This window comes from Homo sapiens, chromosome 4 (assembly GCF_000001405.40).
Source record: "Homo sapiens chromosome 4, GRCh38.p14 Primary Assembly".
In the NCBI taxonomy this organism is placed as follows: Eukaryota; Metazoa; Chordata; class Mammalia; order Primates; family Hominidae; genus Homo; species Homo sapiens.
The window spans coordinates 128,098,982-128,118,618 of NC_000004.12; the positions used below are offsets into that span (position 1 = coordinate 128,098,982).

General features: G+C 39.4%; 1 protein-coding gene across 54 annotated transcripts in view; it reads left to right on the top strand.

Annotated features, from left to right (window-relative positions):
- The window catches only part of LARP1B (La ribonucleoprotein 1B), a 162,138-nt gene that overhangs the window by 38,193 nt on the left and 104,308 nt on the right, over nt 1-19,637 (top strand). For 50 of the 54 annotated variants that reach the window (XR_938753.3, XR_938754.3, NR_146772.2 and 47 more), the window contains 2 exons: nt 8,158-8,332; nt 15,589-15,761. Coding sequence is in view for 50 of the 54 variants with exons in the window: in XM_017008340.2 (XP_016863829.1) it covers nt 8,158-8,332; nt 15,589-15,761 (348 nt within the window). In the remaining 4 variants the exon portion in view is untranslated. Of the gene's footprint in view, nt 1-8,157; nt 9,921-15,588; nt 15,762-19,637 lie in introns of those variants that run through there. The other 4 variants (XM_017008352.2, NM_001278604.2, XM_047415887.1 and 1 more) reach the window with 2 other exon arrangements.

Sequence of the window (19,637 nt, forward strand, 5' to 3'; positions counted from 1 at the left end):
TGGCCAGGCTGGTCTCGAACTCCTGACCTTGTGATCCGCCCACCTTCGCCTCCCAAAATGCTAGGATTACAGGTGTGAGCCAGCACTCCCAGCCGTTCCCACTTATTGAAAGGCTAATTTCAAATAGTCCTTCTGGCTGGGCATGGTGGCTCATGCCTGTAATCCCAGCACTTTGGGGAAAAAAAAAATCTCTCATCTGGTCTGTTTCTAGAAATGCTTTCAACATCTTTTTTTTTCTAGCCAATTTCTTTCCCTACACACAACCCTTGGTAACCACAATCACTAATCTGCTTTTTCTTTTTTTCTTTCTTTTTTTTTTTTTTTGAGACAGAGTCTCATTCTGTTGCCCAGTATGGAGTGCAGTGGCACAATCTTGGCTCACTGCAACTTCTGCCTCCCAGGTTCAAGGATTTTCCTGCCTCAGCCTCCCAAGTAGCTGGGATAACTGGAGTGTGCCACCATACCCAGCTAATTTTTGTATTTTTAGTAGAGACAGGGTTTCCCAATGTTGGCCAGGTTGTAGCCTTTTGTTTCTGATTTTTCACTTAGTATTGTGCTTTTGAGATTCACCTATGTTGCATGTAGCAGTAGTTTGTTCTTTCATATTGCTGACTAGTATTCCATGGTATGGATATACCACAGTTTATCCATTCACTTGTTGGTGGACATTCAGATTATTTATGGTTTTGGAGAGTGTGAGTAAAGCATGAAGATCTTTATAGGGATATATATATACACACACACACACACACACATATATATTTCTGTTGGATAAATATCTAGTATTGTGATTGCTGGAAAGTATAGTAAGTATATGCCTATCTTTATAAGAAAATGCCAACCTATTGTCCAAAGTGGCTTTACCATTTTGCATTCCCACGATTATCTATAGGACTTGTTCCTCAGCCTTATCATTGCATATATTGTCAGTTTTTTGAATAATAGATATATAGTGGTTTCTCATTGTGGGTTTTTTATTTTTTTGGGACAAAGTTTCAGTTTTGCTCTTGTTGCCCAGGCTGGAGTGGAGTGCAATGCCATGATCTTGGCTCACTGCAACCTCCACCTCCCGGATTCAAGCAATTCTCCTGCCTCAGCCTCCCAAGTATCTGGGATTACAGGCGCCTGCCACCACACTCAGCTAATTTTTAAATATTTTTAATAGAGACGAGATTTCACCATGTTGGCCAGGCTGGTCTCGAACTCCTGACTTTCAGGCGATCCATCCGCCTTGGCCTCCCAAAGTGCCGGGATTACAGGCATGAGCTACCGCGCGCCTGGCCTGATTGTGTTTTTTTGTTTGTTTTTTGAGACAGAGTCTCTCTCTGTCGCCCATGCTGGAGTGTTCTGGTGCGATCTTGGCTCACTGCAACCTCCACCTCCTGGGTTCAAGTGATTCTCCTGCCTCAGCCTCCCAAGTAGCTGGTACTACAGGCGCACGCCACCAAGCCTATCTAACTTTTGTGTTTTTAGTAGGGATGGGGGTTTCACCATGTTGGCCAGGATGGTCTTGATCTTTTGACCTTATGATCTGCCCGCCTCAGCCTCCCAAAGTGCTGGGATTACAGGCGTGAGCCACCACGCCTGGACTCATTGTGGTTTTAATTTGCATTTCACTAATGATTAAAGTTGTTAGCAGTTTTTCATGTGCTTTTTTGTCTGCATACCTTATTAGTGGAAATGTCTGTTCAGATTTTTTATTCATTATTATTGAAGTGTTTTTTAAAAGATAATTGTATGAGTTCTTCATTCTGGATACAAGTCCATTATGTATTTTGCAAATATTTTTTCCTAGTTTTTGTCTTTTCATTTTCTTTTCTTTTCTTTTTTTTTTTGTTTTTTGTTTTTGTTTTTGAGACAGAGTCTTGCTCTGTCACCCAGGTTGGAGTGTAATGGTGTGATCTCAGCTCACTGCAACCTGCGTTTCCTGGGTTCAAGCGAGTCTCCTGCCTCAGCCTCCCGAGTAGCTGGGATTACAGGCGCCTGCCACCATGCCTGGCTAATTTTTGTATTTTTTAGTAGAGACAGGGTTTCACCATGTTGGTCAGGCTGGTCTCGAACTTCTATCTCAGGTGATCCACCTGCCTCGGCCTCCCAAAGTGCTGGGATTACAGGAATGAGCCACCGCGCCTGGCTTCATTTCTTAACAGGCTTCTTTGAATAGCAAGTTTTTGAACACGTGTGCTTCGTGTTTTAAAAATCAACTACAGGGCTGGGCGCGGTGGCTCATGCCTGTAATCCCAGCACTTTGGGAGGCCAAGGCCGATGGATCACTTGAGGTCAGGAGTTTGACACCAGCTTGGTCAACATGGTCAAACTCTGTCTCTACTAAAATACAAAAATTAGCTGGACATGGTGACGTGCCTGTAATCCCAGCTATTTGGGAGGCTGAGACAGGAGAATTGATTTTACTATAGTAAAGTCCATGTTTTGAAAATAACATAAAATAATGATTTGTTGGTGTATAATTAATGATTCTTGGTTTCATGAAAATAATTACTGTAAGCAATGTCATTATTGCATTTGTTTATAGATAAGTATATAAGGTTTCTATATATTGTAATTAACAGAGAAAATTAGTTTTTTTTTTTTTTTGCAAAATTTGCTCTTAGAGCAAATATTATGATTCATAGTAGAATGAGTTTATTTATTTACTTATTTATTTATTTTCATTTTTTAGTAGAGATGGAGTTTCACCACGTTGGCCAGGTTGGTCTCGAACTCCTGGCCTCAAGTGATCTTCCTGCCTCAGCTTCCCAAAGTGCTGGGATTACAGGCATGAGCTACCGCCGCCGGCATTAGAATGAGTTTATTAACTGCTGCCATTGTGCTATAGCAAAGTGCTGTAGCCAACTCAGCTGCCGTTTTTTATGAAGTTGTTGCCATTTTTTCCCTGTCTACTTCTGTACGAATGTAGTTGTAATTTTATTATTGTATGCCTTTTTGGTCTGTTTGTAGTCCCATTAAATCCTCAAGCACAATTTTAAGATCATTGACATTTTGTTTTTACAACCTACAGCAGTAAGGAAGGATTTTTAAAAGGAAGCTTTGAGCTACTGTTATGGTTAGCACTGATACAGTAGCTAATGATACAGTAAAAAATAATACCACTATTGAAAAGCAGAAACACATAAGCATAGCAATTTAGAAGAACATAAGTCTGCATTCACTTAACATTCATTATGCACCTACCATTTGTAATAGTAGGAAAGGTGTTCTTTTTCTGTTGAGAAAGTAAGGCTTCATTAGGCATTGTAGTGTTAACATATCAAGATCATGGACCTATGAATATGTCCCTTGTAGCTCTGTGACTATTGTCAGTGTCCTGAGACAGTAATATATATTTCCTAGGGTTGTCATGAGGATGAATTGTGTTAATGAAAGTATCTGGCAAATGTAGTAAGCTCTAAATAAGTAAGCATTTGCTATTATTGTTAGTCTTAAACGATGTCGTTCTGTTGATAACTCCTTTATCTTCATGCATTTCATTTTAACCAGCTTCTTCCCATATGTATTTGAATATGCTCAAGTTTTTCCTTTCTTGAAAAACTCTCAAGAGAAGCAAAATAATTTAGCTGATACCCGTATCTGCCCTGGTTGAGTATGCAAACGCAAACCAAACTTGTTGAATCTGATTCTTCTCCGCTCATTTATTTTTTAGCTTACTGCATTCTCGATGTCTTCCCCATAATTGAAAGCTTTTTGTGTCTTCCATTTGTTAGAGCAAATTGATCTTGGTTCTATAGCTTACCAGTTGTATAACTAAGCAATTAACGTAATATCTTCATGCTTCAATTTTCTTGTTAAAATATAGCAAATAATACTTAAGCTATAATAGAGTATGAGGATTTAGAGGAATAATTAATATAATATCAGCCTCAGAACTGTGCCTGCTACTTTCATCTCAAACCTTGTTTTCTAAATTGTCTGAACTTGTGGTTCCTCAAAACTTGTGCTCTTTTCTTTTTATCTCCAGGTCTTTGCACATTCAAGTCTTTCTCTTACTACCAGGCAGTAAGAATGCAACATCTATGTATTCCGGCATTGGTAGTTATTCATAGTAGTAGGTCTGTATCATTAAGAAAAGAACCAAAATTAATAGCTAAGTCAGTTAAAACCTCAGATACTGGAAAATACTGATGTACCCAGTAACTCATTGTTTAGGAGTTCAGGATTACCAAGGCTTGGTTTTATAACTCGATGTTTCTTCTAGGTCTTTACCTTAATTTTGTGCATGGTGTAATTTTTATATGATCCTTTTATGGCCTGAGTGATGAATGTTTCACTTTATGTGTTCTTCATTTCCCTTTTAAATTTATTATTTCTAAATAGGAAATAAATTACACAAAATTCAAAACTCAAAAGGGTATATGGTTATCTTCCAGTGATTGTCCAAGGAAAAAAAAGGTATATGGTAAAAATTTTTTTTTCCCCATTTTTCCACCAACAATGAATGAATTACCTGCCTTGGTAGTGGTCAGTGTTACTTCTTTCTTGTGTCTTCCTCCTGAGATAGTTTGTTTATGTAAGAGAATACTATGATACCTTACTACATACAATGTTTGTTATGCCCCTTCCTCTTTTTTTTTTTTTTTTTTTGAGACAGAGTCTCACTCTGTCACCCAGGTTGGAGTGCGGTGGCATGATCTTGGCTCACTACAACCTCTGCCTCCTAGGTTCAAGCGATTCTTCCGCCTCAGCCTCCTGAGTAGCTGGGATTACAAGCGCCTGCCACCACGCCTGGCTAATTTTTGTATTTTAGTAGAGACGGGTTTTTGCCATGTTGGCCAGGCTGGTCTGGAACTCCTGACCTCAGGTGATCCGCCCGTCTCGGCCTCCCAAAGTGCTGGGATTACAGGTGTGAGCCACCATGCCTGGCCTCCTCTTTTTTTATTTTTTATAAAAAACATGTGTTGGAAGAGGCTTTAGTAGCTGTACATAAAGAACTTTGAGCTTTTCATCCCACAAGTTTTTCTTTAAATATTTTCTTTTAAATTGAGGCATAATTTATACATTATTATTATTTTATTTATTTATTTATTTAGAGATGGAGTCTCATGATCTGCCTGCCTCAGCCTCCCAAAGTGCTGGGATTACAGGTGTGAGCCACCGTGCCTGGCCTTTATACATTATATATTGTAACTCATAAGATTAGAGATGATTTTTTTTCCTATGTATACGGTCAGGTAACTGCCATCCAGATTAAGATACAGAACATTTTCAAGACCCAGGCAAGCTGCTTTCTGTACCCTCCTAGTCAGTACCACTGCTTTCCCTTTTAAGAGGCCTCTCTCCTGTTTTTGAACTTCACATAAATGGTGTTATGACTTTTATATCTGATTTTATTTCTGAAGTTATTTCTGTGAGATTTATTCATATTGGTGTATAGCAGTTGTTTACTTTCTGTTTTTTGGTAGTTTTTCCATTGTATGAATATAACAGTTAATCAATCTTTCTTTTCTTGCTTTCTTCCTTTTTTTTGAGACCGCTCTCACTCTATGGCCCAGGCTGGAGTTGTACTGACCTGATCTCAGCTCACTGCAACTTCCACCTCCCAGTTTCAAGCGATTCTCCTGCCTCAGCCTCCCGAGTAGCTGGGATTACAGGCACCCACCACCAAGCCTGGCTAAGTTTTTGTATTTTTGGTAGAGACAGGGTTTCACCATGTTGGCCAGGCTGGTCTTGAACTCCTGATCTCAGGTGATCCACTCACCTCGGCCTCCCAAAGTGCTGGGATTACAGGCTTGAGCCACCGTGCCCGGCAACAGTTAATTTTTCTATGCTCCTATTGATAGACATATTTGGGTTCTTTCCACTTTGGGTCTTTGATGCTACTGTGAACGTTGTCATAGATATTTCTGGGTGAACATAAGCATTTATTTTCCTGGGAAACTGGTGGGTAACAGGGCATAAATGTGTGATTACCTTTTGTAGATACTGCTAAGCATTTTTTTAAAGTATCAAACCAATCAAAACCACCACTATTGGGAGTTTGACTTGCTTCACATTCTAACCAACACTACTAGCAGTCTTTTTCCACAACTTTACTTTGGAAAATTTAAACATATGGGAAAGTTTCAAGGAGTTTTTTTTTTGTTTTTTTTTTACATTCAGGGATAGATAATACATGGTAAAATACAGCGATCTTAGATGTTCACTGTGAGTTTTGAAAATTAAACATAAGCATTACCCCAGGCAAGATGTAGAATACTTTCATTATTCTAAAAACTTCCTTCATGGCTCTTTCTAGTCAGTGTCACACAGCCTCTCCAACAACTTTTCTGATTTTCATATCATAGATTAGATTAGTCTGTTCTTGGCATTTGTGTAAATTGATTTCTTCTGTCTCTGAGTTCTTTTCATTGGTAGTTTTTGACATTCATCCATGTTGTTGCAATGGTCTGGATGCTGGGCATACTGTTTGCTACTGGGGTGTCATTGCTTCTAGGTCTTTCAGTGGACAAAATGAGGAAAATATATGTTGGGAAAAATACACTGATTTTACTCATCTAAAGCTTTCACCATAGGATTCTTTCCTATCTTTCTCCATTTTATATTTCAGACTCCCTTCTCAAAGGAGTTTCATTTAAAATAAGTCCTAATTGTAATTTAAAGGAATCCCCAATTATGGCCAGGCGTGGTGTTTCACACCTGTAATCCTGCATTTTGGGAGGCCGAGGCGGGTGGATCATGAGGTCAGGAGTTCAAGACCAGCCTGGCCAACTTGGTGAAACCCCGTCTCTACTAAAAGTACAAAAAAATTAGCCGGGTGTGGTAGTGGGTGCCTGTAATCCCAGCTACTCCGAAGGCTGAGGCAGAGAATTGCTTGAACTTGGGAGGCGGAGGTTGCAGTGAGCCAAGTTGACAACACTGCACTGTAGCCTGGGTGACAGAGTGAGACTCCGTCTCAAAAAATAAAAATAATAATAATAAAAAAAGAAATGCCCAGTTATGGAAAATATAACTTGAGAGTTAAGTACCATACTAATATTAAGAGCAAGAGTAGGTTCTTTTTTCAAAATCTGTTCATTTCTGAATGGATAATGTTCTTTTTTTTTTTTGAGATGGAATCTTGCTCTGTCTCCAGGCTGGAGTCCAGTGGCGCCATCTCGGCTCACTGCAACCTCCAGCTCCCTGGTTCAAGTGATTCTCCTGCCTCTGCCTCCCAAGTAGCTGGGATTACAGGCACATGCCACCATGCCCAGCTAATTTCTGTATTTTTAGTAGAGATGAGGTTTCACCATATTGGCCAAGATGGTCTCAATCTCCTGACCTCGTGATCCACCCGCCCCGGTCTCCCAAAGTGTTGGGATTACAGGCATGAGCACCTGGCCCGGTTAATGTTCTTAATTATATACAGCATGTTCTCCAGCTAAAATGTAGTGGGCTTTAATTTTTATAAGTTAATGTACATATAACTTTATATTGTTTTTATATTATACATTTTGTATTTATCCTAATTTCTAAAAGGTGAGTACTCCTGTATTTCAGTGAGAAGTTAAACCAATAAGGATTTAGTTTGTATCTTGAAGAAATTTTGGCCTAGTTTTGTTTTATCCTTGTAGTACATATTGGGGAGGCACCTTTGCCTAATGGCTAAGACTTTTAGTTGTAGATAGATAGTGGTTTGAGTCCTGGTGTTGTCTCATACTAGATCTGTGATCTTTGATTAAGTTTATTTCTTTGAGCCTCAGTTTCCTCATCTATATGTAGGGGTGATACCTTCTTTATGAGGTATTGTGAGGAATCATGAGTACATGTAGTACTTATTATTCAATAAATTGTGGTAATTATTACAATAATAAAATGCCTACATTTTATTTGGTAATATTTTAATGGAAGACAAGGAAATATGAGAGAGAAGAAAATAGTAAAAGTCAATTTGCTTCTAGCTGATTCAGTATTCCTTAAATGACTGTTCTAATTGTGAAAAATATATCATCTGAAGTTAAATAAGTGGGAGATCAGGATATTTGTTACCTTACAGGTGCAAATGATTTTAAAACTTGTGTTCTATGTGGTTAACTTATGGATTTTTTAGAATCTTAACTGCAAATTAGTTTGCTAATTTCAGGTTTTCAAATTTTTAGGTTCTTAGAAGTATAGCACAGACAGTGAAATAGCTCATAATTTTAATAGCTCAATTTCTGTTAATAGGCACTGAAGGATAGCACAGAAGTAGAAATTGTGGATGAGAAAATGAGAAAAAAGATAGAACCAGAAAAATGGCCAATTCCAGGCCCTCCTCCACGCAGTGTGCCACCAACAGACTTCTCTCAACTGATTGATTGTCCAGAGTTTGTACCAGGCCAAGCCTTTTGCTCACATACAGGTAACATCTTTTCTTCTAGAGCAAACGATGTAACAGTGGGTTATTTGGTCCAATTTACTTACTTATTTATTTATTTTCAGTTTATTTAGATTTGATAGGAAAATTAAAGCTAACTGAAAGACTTTTGAGTCCCATTTTGTATTCATATTGCCTCACTCACAGAGTTACAAATTAAATAAGGATTTAAGAATTATGAGGAAAGCTGTCTTATGTTTCTTGTTCTTAAATTATATGTGTACTTTGTCATGTATGGAGTTTCTATCTTTTATTTTTACTAAATAACTATAGATATGTATCGTTTTCCCCTGTAAAATTGGAATAGTATGATTGGATTATTCTAAAAAGGTCTTATACTCAAGAGTGGGGTAGTCTTCCTTTAATTTTGTTACCAATACGCTTTAATCTTGTCTTGGAAAGATAAAATGACCTGCATTCTAAATTAGAATTGGGGTTCTGTTTAATTTGGTTGTGTTTAGAATTTCCAAAAGATTTAATGTTAATAATTTTTTCCTGGATCATTTTTAAGACATTCCCTCTTGGGAAAAAATGTGTGCTTAAACTTTTTTCAGTCAGGGTGATGATCTTCTGAAGCTCTTGGATGTCATTTGATCGGAATATGCAGTGGAATAGGTGACTCACTGAAATGCCTTTATAAATACTGGAACAAATCCTGCTGCAAAAATGAAAGCGATCAGACTGTCTTCTGTTCAAGAATGTCTATTCCCACCTCTTGGTGGAGGAAGTTGGGCCAACACTGCAGTGGAGATAACCACCTTTGCGATAATGAGAGACAGACCAGAGGACTGCTACTCTTTTTATAGGAGCTGCCTATTTCTGTGTAATTGGCCTGGGCTGCATGGGCTGCTTTTATTCATGGTGGGAAAGTTAATTATTATTATTCTGGAAATACCGCAAGATTATGTTTTCTGTTTCCAGGGTTATGTACTTGTGTCCAGATGAATAAAGCAGAAAAAGAGGGGATTGAGTAGCATTTCCCAGATTCTTAAGTACTTTGCTATTCGATTTGCCTTTCAGTGTAGTGTACATTGTAAAACTCAGATATTGTCATGATGTTTCACTTGGACATAAGACTTATTAATGTGGTCACTTAAGGGGTAAGGAATTTAAGAACTGGATGAGGTTATTTCTTCCTTTACTCTTCAAAATGTATTTTTGATACATCAGTATGAGAGGACGTCCCATCAACAAAGCATCGATGATGGACAGTCTCACACTATTTTTATCATATGTTTCTTTGTCAGCCTTCTGCTTCTAATCCCAGTAAGCAACTTGGACAGGCATTTTAAAAGCTGAAGAAAAGTGACATTATTTTAGCTAGTGGTTTTTAATTTATTTTTTGTTAAGATATAATGGGTGATTATATAAGTTAGATTTATTTATGATATCAACTTGGGTCCAAGATGATAGTTTTAGCTAGCTTATGAACATTGGGTTCACAAGGCATTGGGTAAGTTAGATAAAATAGCATATACTTTCTCTGCAGGGTAGGTAAGATAGGTCAGTCAAGTTGGTAATGCCTGTCCATTAACCATTTATGCATACTAATAAAATTATAAGAATAAAATCATAATGTTGTACATTTTTGTGTTTTTTAATATACACTCAGATGCATGCACATACATATTGTCTGAAACAAGCCAGTATATATTAAAATGTCATAAATTTTAGGTTATTTAGATTACATATCAGAAACTAGATGGTTAATGAAGAAATATAGGAAGATGGAGGGTTCTTAGAATTATGCTGATTCACATTAGGTCATAGGAATAAATATGTAAATCACCTCTTTCCATGAATTCCCAAATTTCTGACCTTAATAATTTCCTAGTGATAAGAAAGCCTAGTTTCTTTAAGTCAATGGAGAGTAGTATGTCACCAAAAATTTGAAGTGGAAATAGAGATAAGAAGCATAGACTGTGCTTATATGTATCTATGAGTAGAGAAAAGTAGTGAAACTGTATATCATTTTAATCTCAAATTTGAAGACCTTAAAATTTTAACAACATAACTCTTTATGATTTCTGAGGGATTTGTATGGTAAAATATTCTAACATAATTGGTCTTCTTCATCAAAGAGATTAAAATTTCTATTTTTTTTCCTATCTGGAGGTTGAATTTTCTAATAGGGGTTGAACTGAGCAGAAGTCTACCTTTATGCACCAGAAAACATTGATTATGGGAATGGTAAGATTACTTCTGAAACATAGGTTTTGCAGTTTTATGGATATTGTTAGTATTTTACTATTAACTCTTAAATGAAAGGATTTCATTCATCAGAATTGAAAGGTCAGGTACCTGACAATGTTGGGTTTTTTTCTTTTTTTAAATTTTAATAATCTTCACAAGGGCACTGTAATGTAGTGTTTTTCTTTCTTTTCTTTTTTTTTTCCCCTTGACTCTTAGCACCACTCAATGAAAATTTTAAAAAGTGCCACACATAAAATATATAATCCTTTTTTCAGGAAACCTTTTTAATTACCCAGAACTGTGATCCTCCCAAGGTACAAAAAAAAAATCATACCAGAGATGAAATGTATATGGTGATTTATCTTTGGAGAGTTCAGTTGATATTTTTTTTGTTGTTGTTGAGACGGAGCCTCACTCTGTCGCTCAGGCTGGAGTACAGTGGCGCAGTCTCGGCTCACTGCAACTTCCGCCTCCTGGATTCAAGCAATTCTCTTGCCTCAGCCTCCCGAGTAGCTGAGATTACAGGTGTGTGCCACCACGCTTGGCTTATTTTTGTATTTTTAGTAGAGATGGAGTTTCACCATGTTGGTCAGGCTTGTCTCGAACTCCTGACCTTGTGATCAGCCCACCTCGGCCTCCTAAAATGGGATTACAGGCGTGAGCCACTGTGCCCGGCCACTGATAATTTTCAGTTAATAAAAGCAGCAAAGATAAATTTTCTGTGTTCTTACAAATTAAAACAAGTATTAAATATATGTATCTAAATTTTTTTTGTTTCTAAGTAGTTTAATATCAGGTAATCTAAGTCATTTAAACTCATTTTGTCTTGGAAGATTAGGGTTTACTATTACCCTTAATCCGTTCAGATGTATAGTTTGAAGTCTTTTCATTATTAAAAAAAAAAAGATTTGGGAGGCCGAGGCGGGCGGATCACGAGGTCAGGAGATCGAGACCATCCCGGCTAAAAAAAACGGTGAAACCCCGTCTCTACTAAAAATACAAAAAATTAGCCGGGCGTAGTGGCGGGCGCCTGTAGTCCCAGCTACTTGGGAGGCTGAGGCAGGAGAATGGCGTGAACCCGGGAGGCGGAGCTTGCAGTGAGCCGAGATCCCGCCACTGCACTCCAGCCTGGGCGACAGAGCGAGACTCCGTCTCAAAAAAAAAAAAAAAAAGATGCAGCAGACCACACAGAGCATATATGTAAATTAATTATGAGGTTAACACCTTTACGAGTCTTATTCTAAGAATTGTACGTTTTCTTGTCTTACCCAAATTCTTTAGTGTTTTAATGTCATTTCATTTCTAAGCATATGTGTTGGCGAATATATTGAAATACTTTACTTCCCAGTAGAAGTATTTAAGCATAATTCAAGCTTAAATAACATTTAGAGATAATTTTATAAGAAGCATCTGAGTGTGGGGGTGTACACCTGTAGCCCAGCTACTTGGGAGGTTAAGTTTGGAGGATACTTGAGCCCAGGAGTTCCAAGGCCAGACTGGGTGACATACCAAAAACTCATAATTTTTTTTTTTTTTTTTTTAAGAGATGGTGTCTTGCTCCGTTGCCCAGGCTGGAGTGCAATGGCACGATCTCTGCTCACTGCAGACTCCGCCTCCCAGGTTCAAGCAATTCTCCTGCCTCAGCCTCCCGGGTAGCTGGGACTACAGGTGTGTGCTGCCACGCCCGGCTATTTTTTTGTATTTTTAGTAGAGACGGGGTTTCACCATGTTGGTCAGGCTGGTCTCGAACTCCTGACTTCAGGTGATCACCTGTCTCGGCCCCCCAAAGTGCTGGGATTATAGGCATGAGCCACCAAGCCCAGCTCTTCATCTACTTTTAAGGCTTTATTTAATATGAACATTGATAATTCATAGTATTAGAAATAGAGTTCTCTGGGCCAGGTGCAGTAGCTCATGCCTATAATCGCAGCGCTTTAGAGATTGAGGTGAGAGGATTGCTTGAGGCCAGGAGTTCAAGGCCAGCCTGGGTAACAAAGTGAGACCCAGTCTACAAAATACATGTATTTTTATGTTGACTGGGTGTGGTGGTGTGCATGTGTAGTACTAGTTATTCAGCAGGCTGAGTTGAGAGGATTACTTGAGCGCAGGAGTTTGAGGCTGTAGTGAGCTATGATCATGGCACTGTACAGCTGTAAGGGGCCCTGTCTCTTTTTTTTGTTTTGTTTTTGAGACAAAGTCTTGTTCTTGTCCCCCAGGCTGGAGTGCAGTGGCTCACTGCAACCTCCGCCTCCTGGGTTCAAGTGATTTTCCTGCCTCATCCTCCCAAGTAGCTGGGATTACAGGTGCCTACCACCACGCCTGGCTAATTTTTGTATTTTTTTTTTTTTTAGTAGAGACGGGGTTTCACCAGTTGGCCAGGCTGGTCTTGAACTCCTGACCTCAGATGATCTGCCTGCCTCGGCCTCCCAAAGTGCTGGGATTATAGGCATGAGCCACTGTGCCCATCCTCTGTCTCTTAAAAAAAGTTTCATGTATGGTTCATTAAAAAGAAAAAAAAAAGTGTTCTCTGGAGTTAATATTTTTCCCATTCCTATAACTAGACAATTAATGTTCATCCAAAGCTTGTATTTCACTTGTACTTTTTTTGTGAATGAATTGGTGATATATGTAGTGTTAATAAAGTTACAGAGCACCACTGTCCAATAAAAATGTGAGCCATGTATATAACTCTAAAAATTTTAGTATTCTTAAAATTATAAAACATGAAATTAATTTTAATATTTTAAATAGATATTTTAATTTAACTTAATAGATCCAAATGTTATATGCTCAGTGTAAAAATTAATGGCACTATTTTTTTTTAGCGGGGTTGGGAGTACCTGGTCTTTAATACCTGGTGTGTATTTTACTCTTGTCCTGAGCATGTTTCAGGACTAGCCACATTTGAAGTGATAGATAACTGCATATAGCTAATGCTTACTCTATTTTTTTTTTTTTTTTTTTTTTTTTGAGATGGAGTCTTGCTGTGTCTCCCAGGCTGGAGTGCAATGGCGTGATCTCAGCTCACTGCAACCTCTGCCTCCTTGGTTCAAGGGATTCTTCTGTCTCAGCCTCCCAAGTAGTTGGGATTACAGGCACCCACCACCACGCCCGGCTAGTTTTTGTATTTTCAGTAGGGATGGGGTTTTGCCATGTTGGTCAGGCTGGTCTCCAACTCCTGACCTTAGGTGATCCGCCCACCTCGGCCCCCCAAAGTGCTGGGATTACAGGCATGAGCCACCACGCCCAGCTGTGCCTACTGTATTGAACAGCACAGTTCTAGAGCTTTTCCTGTTATGAAACAATATATAGTCTTTTATAAATAATACAGTAATCTAGTAGTTGAGTCCTGGTTGAGTCCATGTGTCCAAGGGGAAGATATTAAAGCTATCTGATTTTACTCTCATCTATGTCTAGCATGTAGATGAATGTAAAATCTTGAAATACTCTTCTTAAACCCATTCTTGAAATGTGCCTTTCATTTAGTAAATATTAAACAAAAGATTGCTGGTGTTAATTTATTTCAGCTTTCTGCATTTAACATTTAACTTCTCAATATTTTCAGTGAATTGACTTAGAGGAGTTAATGATGTTAAGAATTTTATGGTATACATTTTTGAAAAATAAATTTTATTGTGTATATTTGAGGCTTACAACATAATGTTACAGAGTACATTTTTTGAAGACACCTTGTGTTCAAAGCAAGTTCATATTGCATCTTCAGATCTAAACATGAATATAACTTAAAATATTTAAATATTCTTTGACTTTTGAAAAAATATTTATAAAAGAAGCCATTTGATTTTTTTTCTTTTTCTTTTCTTTTTTTCTTTTTTTTTTTTTTTGAGACAGAGAGTTGCTCTGTCGCCCAGGCTGGAGCGCAGATCTTAGCTCACTGCAACCTCTGCCTTGCGGATTCAAGCAATTCTCTGCCTCATCCTCCTGAGTAGTGGGAATTACAGGTGCTCACCACCAGGCCTGGCTAATTTTTTTGTATTTTTAGTAGACACGGAGTTTCACCATCTTGGCCAGGCTGGTCTTGAACTCCTGACCTTGTGATCCACCCGCCTCAGCCTCCCAAACTGCTGGGATTGTAGGTGTGAGCCACTGCGCCTGGCTGCAATTTGAATTTTATCATTTTGATTAAAAATAAACCTACAGAAGTGTACTGTATAGAAAGACCTTTTAAGTTCCAACAATTTTTAAATGCTTTTAATGTTATTGCCAGGGCTGTGTGCGTTAGTGATGTGACATTTACTCTTTTTTTTTTTTTTTTTTTTTTGAGATGGAGTTTCGCTTTTGTTGCCCAGGCTGGAGTGCAATAGCGCCATCTCGGCTCACTGCAACCTCCACCTCCCAGGTTCAAGCGATTCTCCTGCGTCAGCCTCCTGAGTAGCTGGGATTACAGGCATGTGCCACCACGCCCGGCTAATTTTGTATTTTTAGTAGAGATAGGGTTTCTCCGTGTTGGTCAGGCCAGTCGACACTTCACTCTTTAAAGTATTTCAGTATGAGCCAAAGTAGTAAATGACTACACTGCATTTATTGCAGTAGACAAACCTTGCTGAGCCAAGGAAATGTGAAAAGTAGGAGTAATAATGGCTTTAGTATAGACCCTAGTAGAACAAGAGACTAATTTTACCTTGAATAAGATGTGCATTTAGCTTAACTATGGCTTAATAGCAACTGAGATGCCATAATTTCCTTATAATTTATAGATTTTAATCTAAGATTTTTCAGAGAACTTGACTTCCTAATAGTTGTACTGTCATAATTAGGAAGTGACTCACATTGATATTTTTGAGAAGTTTACATGAATGTAGTGGTCTGTGTAAGACTTGGTGACATGCTTTAATTATTCAGTGGCTTCACTTTTGAGTAAATCTTATGAGCCCTTCAGGTTTGAAAATCACTGGAAAGCTTACAGTTGAGACTGATCATGTTTTTGTGAAAAAATATCAAGCCCCAGTTAAGGAAAAAATGAAGTGTATTTTGTAAGTAAGAAAAGCCATTATCATTTTAACTATAGAACTAACTTAAAATTTTAGAGTCTGCCCCAAATTCTCCAAGAATTGGAAGCCCATTGAGCCCAAAGAAAAACAGTGAAACAAGTATTCTTCAAGCAATGTCTAGAGGTTTGTCTACCAGTTTGCCTGACTTGGACTCAGAACCTTGGATAGAAGTTAAAAAAAGACATCAGCCAGCCCCAGTGAAATTGAGGGTAAGTTGTTACAGACTGAGTGAAGTGTGACATACCCTGGGTGGAGTATAAGGTCAGTGCACTTTATGTTTGTTAGGTACATATGTAAAATTTGGAAAAGTTTAGCACAATTTTAACTTTGTAATTGTTGGCCTTCAGTAGACACTTATGGGTTATTCTATGAGGAAAATAAGTTGTATCAATTTTTAAAATGTTATTTATTTTTTTTTTTTTGAGATGGAGTCTTGCCCTATTGCCCAGGCTGGAGTGCAGTGGCGCGATCTTGGCTCACTGCCACCTCTGCCTCCCAGGTTCAAGCGATTCTCCTGCCCTGGCCTCCTGAGTAGCTGGGATTATAGGCGCGAGCCACCATGCCCAGCTAATTTTTGTATTTGTAGTAGAGACGGGGTTTCACCATGTTGGTCAGGCTGGTCTTGAACTCCTGACCTCATGATCCGCCCGCCTCGTCCTCCCAAAGTGCTGGGATTAGAGGCATGAGCCACTGCACCCGGCCTTAAAGTATATTTTTTATTTCTGAACATGATTTAAGAATTTTGGAGGCTGGGCACAGTGGCTCATTCCTGTAATCACAACACTTCGGGAGGCCAAGGCAGGAAGATTGCTTGAGCGCAGGAGTTCGGGGCCCCCTGGGCAACATAGGGTGACCCTGTCTCTACAAATAATTCATAAAGTTAGCTAATGCTAATTTTTTGGTGGAATGTGCCTGTGGTCTCAGCTACTCAGGAGGCTGAGACAGGAGGAACACTTGAGCTCAGGAGGTCAAGACTGCAGTGAGCCATGATCACACCACTGCACTCCAGGGAGGGTGACAAAGTGAGACCCTGTCTCAAAAAAAAGAATTTTGTCTTGGTTTTTCTACTTGTGACTAATTTTAACTTGAATAATATTTCAGTTTTTTATGAAGTTGAAAAAATATGACTTTTATTTTTTGAGACAGAGTCTCGCTCTGTCGCCCAGGCTGGGGTGCTGTTGCTGCCATGTTGGCTCACTGCAGCCTTTGCCTGCTGGGTTCGAGAGAGTCTTGTGCCTCAGCCACCTGACTTACTGGGATTACAGGGTCACTCCACCATGCCCAACTATTTTTTTGTGTGTTTCTGGTAGAGACGGGATTACACCATATTGTCCAGGCTGGTCTCAAACTCCTGTCCTCAAATAATTTGGCTGCCTTGGCCTCCCAGAGTGCTAGGATTACAGGCGTGAGCCTCTGCGGCCTGGCCAGAAAATGTATAAATTTTGAAGTTACACTCATGTTAATTATTTATAAGGTTTATATAAGTGTTGGTGATTTATATATCTGGTTTATATATGTTTTGGTGATTTAATGTGCAAAAGGAAAAGAAAATTGAATTTTTGGTGGAGGGTACATAAGAGAGTGAGATGGTTATATTTATAAAAAGAGAAATAGGAGATCCTTGTGGTGGTACTGCTCTGCATTTTTCACTGGTGGTAGATACACGAACTTACATATGTGATAGGATTGCTTTGATCTAAATCACAAATGAGTGCAAGTAAAACTGGGGAAGTATAAGCTAAGATTGATTTATATCAAAGTCAATACCTTGTTTGGGATGTTGTAGTATATTTTTGTGAGATGTTAACATTGGGGGAAACCAGGATATATGAGATCTCTATTATTTCTTACAACTGTATCTGAATGTATAATTATTTCAAAGTAAAAGTTCACTAAAAATAAACTTGGGGAGAATGCCACTCAAAAGATTCAAATATTGAAAGTAAGCTCTCTAAAGGGGATGGAAGGTATTGAGAGGATTGTGATGTGGAGGACCAGCAAATTGGTTCTGGTAGCTGGTTTTAAAAGTATAAGGAGAACTGTGTAGTTTTATGGCCAAACAATGCCAGTATATCTGAAATGTATGGTATTCTGATGCTACAGACTGAGGATCTGGCCTGGAGGAAACATGGCTTTAGGTTCTGGGGGCCTAGATATTTCAGAGATAACTGTTGAGGTAGCTCAGTTATTGACATTATTTTTAATATACTTTTAAAAAAGTGATCTTTTAAAAACATTCTAGAGTGGGTATACAGATCTTTGTTGGGCATCATTTTTCTTTGGAATTCTAAAAGCATTTTTCTTTTGTCATCTTGGTTTCTTTTGTCATCTTATGAAAGTCAGTCCATTCACATTCTTTTTATCAAGTGATTTTTTTTTCCTCTTGAGTTTTTTTTTTTTTTGAGTCTTGCTGTGTCGCCCAGGCTAGAGTGCAGTGGCGCAGTCTTGGCTCACTGCAACCTCTGCCTTCTGGGTTCAAGCAATTCTCCTGTCTCAGCCTACCGAGCAGCTGGGACTATAGGTGTGTGCTATCATGCCCAGCTAATTTTTTGTATTTTTAATGGAGATGGAGTTTTACCATGTTAGCCAGGATCTCCTGACCTCCTGATCCGCCTGCCTTAGCCTCCCAAAGTGCTGGGATTATAGGGATGAGCTGCCATGCCCGGCCTGAGATTTTTTTTTTTTTTTGAGACAGAGTCTTGCTCTTGTTGCCCAGGCTGCAGTGGAGTGCAATGGTGTGATCTTAGCTCACTGCAACCTTCACCTCCTGGGTTCAAGAGATTCTCCTGCCTCAGATTCGTGAGTAGCTGGGATTACAGGCACCTGCTACTACACCCGGCTAATTTTTGCATTTATCTATTTATTTTTTTCAGACAGAATCTCACTCTTTTGCCCAAGCTGGAGTACAGTGGCGTGATCTCGGCTCTGTACAACTTTCCCCTCCCGGGTTCAAGCGATTCTCCTGCCTCAGCCTCCAGAGTAGATGGGATTAAAGGCACAGGCCACCACACCCAGCTAATTTTTATGTTTTTAGTAGACGGGGTTTCACCATGTTGGCCAGGCTGTTCTCGAACTCCTGACCTCAGGTGATCCACCCGCCTCGGCCTCCCAAAGTGCTGGGATTACAGGTGTGGCCCACTGCACCTGGCCTAATTTTTGTATATTTAGTAGAGACGTGGTTTCACTATGTTGGCCAGGCTGTTCTCGAACTCCTGACCTCAGGTGAACCGCTGGCCTCGGCCTCCCAAAGTGTTGGGATTACAGGTGTGAACCACCACACCTGGCCTTGCTTGAGATTTTTAAGATCATTTCTTCATCCCCAGCTCTTGAAATTTCAAGATGATGTGCTTTGGTGTAGGTCTAATTTTAAACAGAAAATCTTTTTTTTTTTTTTTTTTTGGCAGAGGGTTTCACTCCCTTTGCCTAGACTGGTGTGCAGTGGCGCGATCTCTGCTCACTGCAGCCTCTGCCTCCTGGGCTCAAGCGATTCCCCTGCTTCAGCCTCCCAAGTAGCTGGGACTACAGGCACAAACCAACAGGCCCGGCTAATTTTTTTTTTTTTTTTTTTTTTTTGTAGAGACAGGGTTTCTCCTTGCTGCCCAGGCTAGTCTTGAACTCCTGGGCTCTAGTGATCCACCCACCTCGATCTTTCAAAGTGTTGGGATTACAGGCATGAGCCACCTTGCCCAGTCAGGTCTATTTTTTTTTTTTTTTTTTGAGATGGAGTCTTGCCCTGTCACTAGGCTGGAGTGCAGTGGCGCGATCTCGGCTCCCTGCAACCTTCACCTCCCGGGTTCATGCCATTCTCCTGCCTCAGCCTCCCAAGTAGCTGGGACTACAGGCGCTTGCCACCACGCCCAGCTAATTTTTTTTTTTGTATTTTTAGTAGAGACGGGGTTTCATCGTGTTAGCCAGGATGGTCTTGATCTCCTTACCTCGTGATCCGCCCGCCTCAGCCTCCCAAAGTGCTGGGATTACAGGCGTGAGTCACCGCGCCCTGCTCTGTCTGGTCTATTTTTATGCATTGTGCTGAGTATTCATGTCCTTCATTTGGGAGAAACTAATGTTTCTCTTATTTCCACTTT